The sequence below is a fragment of the Homo sapiens genome, chromosome 1, assembly GCF_000001405.40.
Source record: "Homo sapiens chromosome 1, GRCh38.p14 Primary Assembly".
NCBI classification, from domain to species: domain Eukaryota; kingdom Metazoa; phylum Chordata; class Mammalia; order Primates; family Hominidae; genus Homo; species Homo sapiens.
Genome location: NC_000001.11, coordinates 218,316,133 through 218,328,953, shown reverse-complemented (window position 1 = coordinate 218,328,953; position 12,821 = coordinate 218,316,133). Strand labels below are relative to the sequence as shown.

General features: G+C 40.0%; 1 protein-coding gene across 4 annotated transcripts in view; it reads right to left on the bottom strand.

The window, feature by feature from the left end:
- The window catches only part of RRP15 (ribosomal RNA processing 15 homolog), a 52,691-nt gene that overhangs the window by 9,030 nt on the left and 30,840 nt on the right, over positions 1-12,821 (bottom strand). For 2 of the 4 annotated variants that reach the window (XM_047421797.1, XM_011509597.4), the window contains exon 5: positions 1,000-6,218. The exons of the other annotated variants lie outside the window; for them this stretch is intronic. In XM_047421797.1, the coding sequence (XP_047277753.1) occupies positions 5,817-6,218 (402 nt within the window). In that variant the 3' untranslated portion in view covers positions 1,000-5,816. Of the gene's footprint in view, positions 1-999; positions 6,219-12,821 lie in introns of those variants that run through there. 4 annotated transcript variants of the gene reach the window in all.

The following is a 12,821-nucleotide window of genomic DNA, read 5'->3' as shown; positions in this document are numbered from 1 at the left end:
CCTGCCTTTGATATTTGAGTTTACATATGAACAAGTACAATCTCAGTGTGAAGCCTCTATGTTAGGCAAGTACACCCAATATGCCATCAACACGTTACCGAAAGAGCACACTGATCCCATGTGACTGACTCAACACAGAGTGTTTCTACAAGAGAGCTCACCCTGACAACCAACCTCTAGTTGGACTGAGCTACTCCTCTACTCCTCTCCTAGGTAGCATCAGAAAACCCGCAGGCAACAGAAGAACGAAGAAGAAAAGGGAACATGGAAAAAAAAATTTTTTTTTTTTTTGAGACGGAGTCTCGCTCTGTCGCCCAGGCTGGAGTGCAGTGGCGCAATCTCGGCTCACTGCAAGCTCCGCCTCCCGGGTTCACGCCATTCTCCTGCCTCAGCCTCCCGAGTAGCTGGGACTATAGGCACCTGCCACCATGCCTGGCTTATCTTTTTGTATTTTTAGTAGAGATGGGGTTTCACCATGTTAGCCAGGATGGTCTCAATCTCCTGACTTCATGATCTGCCCGCCTTGGCCTCCCAAAGTGCTGAGATTACAGGCGTGAGCCACCGTGCCCAGCCCACAAAACTTTAAACGTGTATTTCAGAAAGAAAGGAACAATAGTAGACCAAAGGAAGGAATTCACTAATTAAAATGGTGACACCAACTATATTGCATGCTTGTCTTGAAAGATGATTGCTGTAAACATGTATTTTAGGCAAGAAGAGCAACAACAGACTAAGTACAACGTTTTACTCAATTGTCCAACGTAAAGAATAACAGGAAGAGCTTTACAGGGGGATTTTGGTGATGTTTTTGTTTCTTGGTTTCAAGGATCAATATAGTCTGTATCAGTGATTCTTAAAGTGTGATCTTTACACCAGCAGCATTATCTGCATAACTTGAAAATATGTTATTAGCAATTCAAAATCTCGAGGCCTGTTAAATCAGAAACTCCAGGCATGGGGCCTAGCAATCTGTTTTTATAAGCCAGTCAGTGATTCCGGTGCATGTTAAAGATAATTATTTATTTGCTTTACATAAACAAACATTTTTTCTTAGTGATGGTTTTTGTTCACTGCTATAAGACCAAGTACACTTTATGGCTGAGAGGGAAAGATTTTAGAAAATCTAATATTCGATTTTGTAAATCTAATGTAAAATTCAGCACTGTATGCCTTAAGTATGGACATCATTCAAGCTAATCATTACAGTAGCATTTTTACACTGTGAAGCAACAATTTGGAAAAAAAAGACACAATAGAAAATTTATAAAAACAAGTGTTGTTAACACATTTTAAAAACAGGTATGTTAGATGGCATCTGTCAAGATGGCAGCTCAAGAAAACCTTGTTTAAGGCCAGGCGTGGTGGCTCACACCTGTAATCCCAGGAGTTTGGGAGGCTGAGGCGGGCAGATCACTTGAGGTCAGGAGTTTCAGACCAGCCTGGCCAACATGGTGAAACCCCGCTTCTATTAAAAATACAAAAAATAGCCTACGCATGATAGCACAGGCTTATAATCCCAGCTACTGGGGAAGCTAAGGAGGGAGAATCACTTAGGAGGAGGAGGTTGCAGTGAGCCGAGATCACACCACTGCACTCCAGCCTGAGCGACGGAGTAAGACTCTGTCTCAAAAAAATAAAGAAAACCTTGTTTTAAAGGCAGCAGAATGACTCTTTAAATTCTAATCCCTACATTTGCTAAAGACACACGTAGAAAGAAAAAAGGCAGAGGGCCCATGCTAAAGTGGCAGTTTGAACATAAACAACTAGTCTTGCTCAACTGCTATATTCAATAAAACTACAGAAAAGTGATTTGTTGTTTTAAAGACATAACTCAGAAGGTCAAGATCAGAAAAGACAATATCAACACAATTTTGAAGGTGAAGGAGATGGACCAGAAGACACCAGGAAAGTTAAATCCTAAGACTGCAACTATCACACTGACAAAACCAACCCTATTTACACTGCAGAATCTGCAAAAGAAACAGAAACTGGCAGTATGTATCAGGGACTTCTGGAAGTTAAGGGTTGAAGTGGAAGAACCAAAATAAAAAGCACTGGGGTGAAAGGTATGCTTTGAGAAACATTTAGTGCTCTACTTCCCCATCCCATTCCACAATAACCTGGCATAATACCTGGAGGTTTAAATTCTGAAGAGGTAATGGGCTTGCACAGATGAAAGCATAGGTATAGAACCAAAAATGGGATTAAGTTACACACACACACAGCAACCAGATATTGAATCCCAGCTCTCTTCTCACACTGGGCTCCCAAAATGCTGGTACGCAGACCTTTTTCTTCTAAGTAGGAGACTGGAAGAGTTACTTTATTGAAAACCTGACAAGTTGCTAATAAATTCACCCAGAGAACCCTACAGTGAAATTTAAGGTGGATGACACCCATATATTCATAGCTTCCAGTTGAATTTTTTGGTCTATTTGTTCTAATCATGAACACACAACTAAGGATTATCAGAAAGAAGAGAACAATGCAAACACAAAATTTAAAAAACGACTTGTAGGAACAAAAATCTCAAGAGAAAAAAATTTAGGGAAAAATATCATCAACATCCTCAAAGAGTTAAAATATATTGCATCCATAAAATCAGAACAGTTGTTATTTGATTTCACCTTGTTTATTTATTATTTTTGAGATGAAGTTTCACTCTTGTTGCCTAGGCTGGAGTGCAATGGTGCATTCTTGGCTCACTGCAACCTCCACCTCTTGGGTTCAACCGATTATCCTGCCTCAGCCTCCCGAGTAGCTGGGATTACAGGCACCTGCCACCACGCCCAGCTAATTTTTTGTATTTTTAGTAAAGATGGGGTTTCACCATGTTGGCCAAACTGGTCTCAAACTACTGACTTCACGTGATCCACCCACCTTGGCCTCCCAAAGTGCTAAGATTACAGGCCTGAACCACCACACTCGGCCAACAGTTGCTATTTTAAAAGAAACATTAGGAGAATAACAAAGAGCTTAAAATTAAAAATATGGTGGAAGAAACAAAACAAAAAACCACATTATAAAAGTCAGAAGATAACGCTGAGGAAATTGCCCAGAAAATAGACTAAAAGAAAAGAGATGAAAAATGGAAGAAAAAGATAACTGGAGAACCAGTCCAAGAGGCCCAGTATGCAAATAATAGGAGTTCTACAGACAGAGAAAAAATGTACAGGAGGAAATTAATAAAATACTTTAACAAAATTTCCCAGTGAAGGACACACATTTCCAGATTAAAACCAGCCCTCGAGTGTCCAGGACACAATGAGAATATTATTGTAAAACTTCAGGACAACAGGAACTAAAAGAATATCCCATAAGCTTCCAGGAAAACAAAAGTCACATGCATACCAATAATCAGAAATCGAAAGATTCAGATTTTCCAGTAGCAATATTGGAAAGCAAGGAAGCAATAGACAAATACTTTCAAAATGTCAAAGGAAAATAATATCCAACCTAAAATTCAATATTGAGACACATTATTATTGAAATGTGAATACTGAACAGAGGTATTTTCAGACATACGAGGTCCCCAAAAGTTTACTTCCAATGCAGCCTTTCTCAGGACACTGAGGATGTTCTCCATAAACAGATGGAGTAAAACAAAAAGAAGAAAACATGGGATAGAGAAAATAGGAGTCCCACCAAAGGAAAAAGAAGGAAACAGCCAGGATGAGAATGAATGGAGATTCCAAAATAACAACTACACATCACGCATGAAGGACAACCTGCAGCCAAGTGACTCCGTGGGACGGCATGCTGAAAGCGGTCATCACCATGACATCTGTCACTGTATGTTATTTTAACTTGACAAAACCGCTGGAGAATATGCTTTACCAAAAGAGTGAGAGTGAACCAAGAAAAAAAGGAAGATCCAAGAACCCAGACATAGGGAATTCAATCCAGAAGAAATTCCAAGGATCAAAGAAAATTTAAGTCCCAGATGACAAGAGTGAAGCAACCCAAGAAAGCAATCAGGGGATACAAAGGAAAATAGAGGCCTCTAGGAAAGAATATCTCAGAGAAAATAATTAAAATAGATACATCACTTCAGATCATTTGACTTCAAAAAACTAAATTAATAAAGGAAATTAAATATGAAAAGTCAAGACAATGATTAACTTCAGGAAAAATAGAAAGGAAACATATAAATATGGAATATTACAACATTCAGCTGTAAATAATTTTTTCACACGAATAAGAAATGCTGAATACTGACAACTATAATTGTAAACTACATTGAGTGGCCAAAGGAGAAGAGACTGTGTAAGATAATTAAATCTTTGCCTACTAAAACAGAAAACTAATAGATAATGCCTCAAACTGATTAATCAAAAGATACGACTACACATATGCACATGAGTTAGTGATGGCAGTGGCCGACCATCCGGAGTGGCTGCTGCCATCACACCAGTTGCAGCAGGGAGGTGCAGGCGGTGGTAGCAGGAGCGGAAGCAGCAGTGGCGGCGCTGGAACCCTTGTGCCCCGCGTCCCTGAGGCAGATAATTGTGTCACACCCACGCTCACACAGGCAGGCAGGACCCACTCCCAGGCCCGGAGCCTCTGCCATGGCCTCAACCTCACTGCCGGCCGCGTCTTGGGAACCCGCGAGTACCCGGCCGAAGGTGCAGGCAAGACTCAAGGGGCCAGCCCCCAGAGCGTCGGGTTCATTTGTGCGGGGTTGGCAGGGGCCATGCCACCTGCACCTCCCCTGCAGCTGCTGCTGCAGGGAAAACATGGAGTAGGCACCAGTTCCCAGGCCCGCTCCTGGGAATCACAGCGATGGGGCCAGACTAAGTCACCCGCCAGCAAAGGAGCAGCACAGTCAGGCACGGAGGGGCAGGCTGAGAGGGGCCAAGAGGAGGACTTGGGCCTGGGACGGTGCCAGGCTCCACAGAGCTGGTGGGAGTTGGGAGCAGGCAGAAGCCCCGCCCTCGCAGGAATAGCTGCAGCAACCCAAGTCCCGGCTGCAGACCTAGGTATGGCTGCACTCTGGAGTGGAGGGGGCCAGGAAGGCGCCCCCTGCCCCTGCAGGCTCGGAAGTATCTTCTCCCACTGCCCGGTTTCTCCCCGCTCCCAGTGCCCGCTCTGATCTCAGAGCAAGGTTGGAGCGGAACCCGGGCACTGTTACAGCCCAGCTGGGTATACGCACACTGGGGGCAGCGCTGACATGCCAGGCCCCTGCCCCCTTGGCCCCCTCCGGACTTTGGGTGCCAACAAGCATGAGAGGGAGGCCGAGGTGGGGCTAAGGGCAGCTCAGCATTGACCTGCAGGCACTCCTTGGCCAGAACAGTCTGGGCGCCATGAGCAGTGGCAGGAAGCAGACAGGCTTCTGGGTAGAAGGGGGAGGGTCCCCGGTGAGGCCCCACCTTCAGGCCAGGGAGGGCCCGAAGCCTGGGGACCGGGCTGCCAGTCCTGGGGACCAGAGTGGGAACTTGTAGTGCTTTTTCTGGGCCCATCCACGGTAGCCCATGGACCAATTGGTACTCAGTTCCTCTCCTCTAAGGCCCATAAAAAGCCCCGAACTCAGCCAGACCCAGAGACAACAAGACCACCAGCTGCAGCGAGGAGCTATCCACCCCAGGGTCTCCTCTGTTCTATCGCTCAATAAAGCTCCTCTTCATCTTGCTCATCCTCCACTTGTCTGTGTACCTCATTCTTCCTGGATGCAGCACAAGAACTCGGGACCTGCCGAACGGCGGGGCTAAAAGAGGTGTAACACAAACAGCGCTGAAATATGTCCCTTGCTCACCACGTTGCAGGTGACAAGGAAAGAAGAAGGAGAGAAGAGCTGCAGCCCTTCGGGAAGCCCAGACCTAGGAGCTCCCTGAGCCAGGGCTGTGACACCTCTTTAGGGCTCTGCAGTTACTGGCATCTCCAAGCTTCCAGAACGCCACGACGTTCCCTGGTGTCGGCCATGGAAGCTGCTTACAGTACACCTGGTCCAGCTGCAGCCTCGCAAGTAGCCGGCGCCCATGCCATTGCCGGGAGCTATGGACCCTGCCGCAGCTGGCATGCCTGGCTGTGTTCAGTGGCAGGACCCCACTCTCGCTCATACATCCCTCGCTCTTGGCAGGCATGGGATCCAGGCTGGTAGCACGAGCCGAGCGCAGACTGCCAGGCTGAGTGGGCAAAACGAGCCCATAGGACCGAGCAAAACAGGCAAAGGCACCACTGGTCACAGAGGTTTCCAGCTGGTGAAGCGACACCCAAGGATCCTGTAACATTAAGAATACAGAGATGTATAAATGCCAGCAGGACTAGCTAGAGAATTAAGAATTAGTTGCCCCTGAGATAGGAGCTATGAAGAGTAGGCAGAATGGGGTGGAAAACAACTTTATTTTATAATAAACGTTTATGGCAAAATGTGGCTTTTTAAACTACATGTATAAGTAAAGAATTTAAAAAAAAAGGGACAGCAAGAAACAGAAAAAAAAAAAAGTACACCTAAACCATTTCCACAAATCCTAAGTTTCCCAAGCTTTTTTCTACCAAGATCGTCCCAAAAATATCCTAAGAAATCCTTCTAGTTTTATTAACAATGATGATTCTGTTTTACTTCCTAACAATAAATGAAAAAGGGTCAAACACAATAAGTATACTATGAACTCATTGTGTGCCAAGCACTTTATATAATATTGCCTTATTTCTAATTCTCTTAAGATTCCTGGCCAGATAGCAAGTATCATGCTTACCTTATAAGAAAACTAAGGCTCAGAGAAGTGAAGTAATTATTCAAGTTCAGAGTTAATAAAGAGCTGAGTCTATACCCAAACACAGATCCATTTGATTCCAAAGCCCATGTTCTTTCCACAACACTAAACTTCTCTAAAACTTAACTGATGATATGAACACAATACAGTAATATACTGTGTTCTTATATAACCTGTTATAACCTATGAATGAGGACTAAAATACATGCAAAATGCTGAATATGCTTAAGGTAATTTCCATAAAAGATTTGGAGTAAATTACATTACACACTGGATTGACATAATTTCAATTTGCTATATCTTTTCCATAAATATGATTTACCATTAAGTATAAAAACTTCTTAAATACTTGGAGCACCCACACAAAAAAAAGGTAGATCAAAGATTAATATAAGAAAAAAGAAAAAAAAAAGCCTGAGGCAAATTCTAAATGTGTCATTCATCGGAAAAGCTTGCTTGGGGTGATCCCTGAATAGATTTCATTAAATGTTAAGACATCCTGAGAATGAAGGGTTTTTTGTTTTGTTTGTAAAAGAGAAGTAGCAATTTGGTATATTCTTTTTATAAAAGGAATAAAAAGAGAGTTCTGGATTTGAATCTTAGATAAGCCATTGACTCCAGTACTGCAAATTAGAAAGTTTTAGAGGTACAGGCCTTGAAAGAAATAAAAAATTTATTATTTTTTATTAACTGGTTATAGCTATAAGATAAAGTTAACCATACTGTACATGTTAGACATAGGTATTTACTATCATAGATGGAAGCTGTGTTAGCTGTTAAACATAACTAACTGTAATATAAATCGTAAAGTATAAACTGAAATAACCAAACTTTTATCAACTTACGGAGTCTTTCAGTGTTGCTGCAAGGCAGCACTGATTCAAAGACTTAAAGCAACCTATACAACTCTTTCTGCTTATATCAAATGAAAAGTAAAAGTGACTAAATGCAAGAACTTAACGAAAACTGCATGATGCAAGGAAACAAACAGTCCCCACCTTCCTTGGCCTAGTTTTATACAAATATTGAATTGAAACCATACAGAAGCAGTCTGTGTCCATTTTGAAGGTGAAGACAACCCTTAAAAATGTTAATCAGCTTTCATTTCAAAGCGCAAACATACATTGGCAGCCACTGAACACTGAAAAAGAAGGTTTGGAATTACACATTCATCTCACACCAATGAGATGGTTAACTTCATTTCATTTGCTGGGGTGGGGGATAATTAAAATCAAACCATAAAGAAAGAAACAATATAGTCTCATCTATATTTAGTAATCAACAATAGTTGATTTCATTGCTTTCCCTAACAAGAAAGTTCAGTTTTCATTTTAACTCAGTTTCACCTAAATTTTAAAAAGTTCTTAACATTGACTAAATTCATCTTAATATCTTTGTTGTTAAAAATTTTCAGTAAGCTATTTGCAATTGTAGTTAAAAACATACTTTATGGATTCAATTTTTTTCGCCCACTGATTTTTTTTTTGTTTTGTTTTAATTTCATTTACGGCCCCTGAGATAGGAGCTATGAAGAGTGTGCAGAATGGGGTGGAAAACAACTTGATTTTATAATAAACGTTTATGGCAAAATGTGGACATATGTACCCACTACATATGTCCTTGTTCAAAGCGGTTCTATTTGGTGGTTTCTATTATTATACATCTTGTTATCCATACATTTAGTTCTTAATTCAACATTGATTTTCCTCAACATTTAAATTATCTTAAGAACTCTAAGTAAGTTAAAGTTAACTAAGGTGACCAAGCCAAATGTCCAACAATGATAGACTGGATCAAGAAAATGTGGCACATATACACCATGGAATACTATGCAGCCATAAAAAATGATGAGTTCATGTCCTTTGTAGGGACATGGATGAAACTGGAAATCATCATTCTCAGTAAACTATCGCAAGAACAAAAAACTAAACACCGCATGTTCTCACTCATAGGTGGGAATTGAACAGTGAGAACGCATGGACACAGGAAGGGGAACATCACACTCTGGGGACTGTTGTGGGGTGGGGGGAAGGGGGAGGGATAGCTTTAGGAGATATATCTAACGCTAAATGATGAGTTAATGGGTGCAGCACACCAGCGTGGCACATGTATACATATGTAACGAACCTGCACATTGTGCACATGTACCCTAAAACTTAAAGTATAATAATAATAAAATAAAAGAAAAAAAAAGAAATAAAACATAGTAAAAAAAAAAAAAAACCTAAGGTACCTGAAAAGTCAAATGTAACACTTCAGGGAGCCTTTTGACAGTGCTCTATTCATTTTCATAGTAAATTAGTTGTTTGAAATATTCAGATACACTCTGCCAATTAGTCTCTTAAAGCACATTTTATCTGCTATATTATATAGCATATAAATGAAAATCCAGATTTATAAAAAATTAGCAGAGCTGTGAATTCAGCTGAAAAATAGATACCAACGTCTTCCTGATATCACAAATTTGCTAAAAAGCTTACATAAGAAAACATATGTAAAAGTGCTTTGCAAAACTATGAAATGCTATATAAACAAAACAAAGCTGCATCTAGTAAGGAATATGCACACTATAAATCTACTGAACTCAACAAACAATTTAGAAATAAATAGATTGGTCCCATCAGACCCCTTTGGAGAAACAGGTGATTCTAGGTCTGGGACACAGAAAGCACAAGGTTTGGGCTGGACATCCTGTCCCAGAATGCAAGGAATCACTCAAAGAAAATGAGGTCATGCCAAAAGGACACATGAGCCAGTTTACACAGGTTCTCACAGCCACATTTGCAAACTTAAGCAACAAAAAGTATAATGACACTCATTGACTGTAAACACTGAATAAAAATCCCTATGTCCATGACATTTTAAAAAGACAAACAAGCCGGGCACAGTGGCTCACGTCTGTAATCCCAGAACTTTGGGAGGCTGAGGTGGGTGGATCACCTGAGGTCAGGAGTTTGAGACTAGCCTGGCCAACATGGTGAAACCCCATCTCTACTAAAAATACAAAAATTAGCTAAGCGTCGTGGCGGGCGCCTGTAATCCCAGCTACTCAGGAGGCTGAGGTAGGAGAACCACTTGAACCCGGGAGGTGGAGGTTGCAGTGAGCCGAGCCGAGATTGCACCATTGCACTCCAGCCTGGGTGACAAGAATGAGACTCCATCTCAAAAAAAAAAAGACAAAAGAAAAAAGAAGAGACTGGAGGTGACTATTAAACTCCTTACTCTGGAAGACCATAATTAAAAGGGATGAAACAACCCCCATCTTTAGGAACTTTAATTCATCTCTTGAAAAGTGTCAGCTAATAAATTAGAAAACAAATGAGAAAATCACCATTCTGTAACCTCAAGTCACTTAACTGTTTTAGGCAAGGATCACTAATTGATGGTAAAAGGCAAAAGATGGAGACAGGTACACTTGCTCCTGTGAAACTATTTGTCCCAGAAATTACTTTCTAACTGGGAGGTGGGGAGGGTGCACCTTTAATAAAAAAAAAAAAAGTATTTATTATCACTTTAACCAAGTGGAAACTGGCATCACTAGCACGAAACATTCTGATAATGTGTCTCCTGATGTGTTACAATAGCAAGTACATAGTATAAGCTGTCACACATATGATGTAATTATGGCAAAAAAAGTTTAACCTAAATCTCAGCAAGCCCGTAGTCCTAACTTCTAGCTTACAGGAAAAAGGCATAGAACAAGATAAATGACACCATAATGAAGTAATCAGACAAATTCATAAACCTGGATTCATTATTCATTCTTCAAGACAACTGGCCTGGATTCATTATTCATTCTTCAAGACAACTGGCTTGTCTCTTTAAAAAGCTAGTCTTTAAAAGAAAAAAAAAGACAAGGGATTGGTCTAGAACAAAAGAGAACAAGACAGAATCAAATGTAATAGGTGAGACTTAATTGAATTCTAATTCTCAAAAAGTTATAAAAAAATTTTAATTGTATGGTATATGAACATCATACCTCAATAAAACTGATTTTTTTTTAAAAAAGAGAATCTTCGGGGCACATGGGGGTAATACTTTCAAATAATCAACCTAAACAAACAAAAACTAGATGGAGAGAAAGGCAGATAGCTATTAACACAAACACAGTAAGTGTTAACAACTTTTAAACCTAAGTAGAAATACAGAAATATAGGTGGTTATATTACTATTCTTTGTAATTTTCTTCTTGTTTGACAATTTTTATAAAAGAGCTGGGAGTTCACGCCTGTAATCCCAGCACTTTGGGAGGCTGAGGCAGAAGAATCACTTGAGCCCAGGAATTCAAGATCAGCCTGGGCAACATGATGAGACCCCCATCTCTAGAAAAAAAAATTTTAAATCAACCGGGCCTAATGGTGCCTGTGGCTCTAGCTACTCGCGAGGCTGAGGAGGGAGGATCACTTGAGCCCAGGAGGTTGAGGCTGCAGTGAGCTGTGATCACACCACTATATTCCAGCCTGAGTGACACACCAAGACCCTGTCTTTAAATTAAAAAAAAAAAAAAAAAAAAAGGGTGTGGGGCATGGGGGAAGATTCTAAAATCTGTATTCGACACACAATCATCAAATACATGATGCATTTGATTTCTAGTAAATTTTAATTCCTTGACAAATGAAGAGAAAGTCAATTCTAACTTGAATTTATAAATAATTTTCTAAGTTGGTTTTATGAGTTTCATAACTTGAAAATATCTTACTATGTTTAACATTTTATCTTACATAACAGTTTTGAGAAATCAGATTTTAAAATGTGTCAGACTTCATTATGCTTTACATCAAATGAGCAGCACGAGAGACCTAGGAAAAAGCAGAATGCAAGCTGCTTCCTTCACCATTCTCTTCCTAGTCTTGCTGACACTGTGGCTTATCAGCCAGCCACAGTTCTTCCAGCTCATCTGGGTGAGAGAAGGAAGAGAAGTTTTCTATTGGAAGTGGAATTACGTAAAAACATCTGCCACAGCATCTGGCACAAAGCATACGCTAGTAAGTGCCCTCTCAGTCCTTCTACTCACTATCCTTACTTGCTGATGCCGAGTCATTGTGTATCACGTAATCCCCAACTTGGGACAGGTATGATCTTCTAATGATGTTCTGCACATTATTCACAAAGATGATGACATTCAAATAGTATGACAGCACCCCCATAAAAACCAAACTTATCTTAATAAGTAAATTCTTGTAAGTAATACAGTTAGTTCAACCATAAGTGGAAATGGGGAACAAGAGAAAGTGGACACATTTCTAGTTCCTTCAAATCTAGTTTTATATTTTCTAAGAATTATGCATTACTAGAGCCATCACACCTAACGTGAGTGAGAATATCCAAATCTAAACATAATTTTAATCAAATTATTGGAAGGTTTTTGGATTATTCAATAATTCAGATAAAAAGTAGTAAGAGTTCCCCTTCAAATTGGTTTCCAACTTTGGAATTCATCTTTGACTACAATTTTTAGAGAAAAAATAAGCACCAATATAGGGAACTCGTTTTGATGGCATGCAATGGAAAATAAAAATTATTGCAAACATTTATACAGCACTTACTATGTGTTAAGCATCATTCTAAGTGCTTTATGTATATTAACTTAATTGACTCTCACAACATCCCTATGAGGTAGGGACTGTTATTACTACTATATATAACAGGCATTTTGAACTCAGGCAGTCTGGTTCTAGAATCTGTGGCTTTAGTACTATGTGTTATATATCCCCACAAATGGTCTCAACTGCCTACTACTCAAAAATGGTAATTTTTACCAAGATGCAATAAAATATTATTCTGACTTTTAAAAATGCATTATAGGTGCTAACATGTAAGACTGATGTCTTAATATAATGCATTTTTAAAAGTCAAATGCATAGACTCATCTGTGCAGGATAATTTTTTTTTAAAGCCTCAGCCTCACTAAAGAAAATCCAATACAGGCAGCCACTTCAAATAGCACATTTATTCATATAGGGGCAAAAAGATGTATGGCACCATTAATTTTAAGTTAACAGTAACTAAAGATTTCTACAGCAGTTCTGTAATAACTAGTTCTTATTCTTCACTAATATCCATATTTTCCATAAGTCAAAATGCTGCATGTGCCATATTGCCAAACCT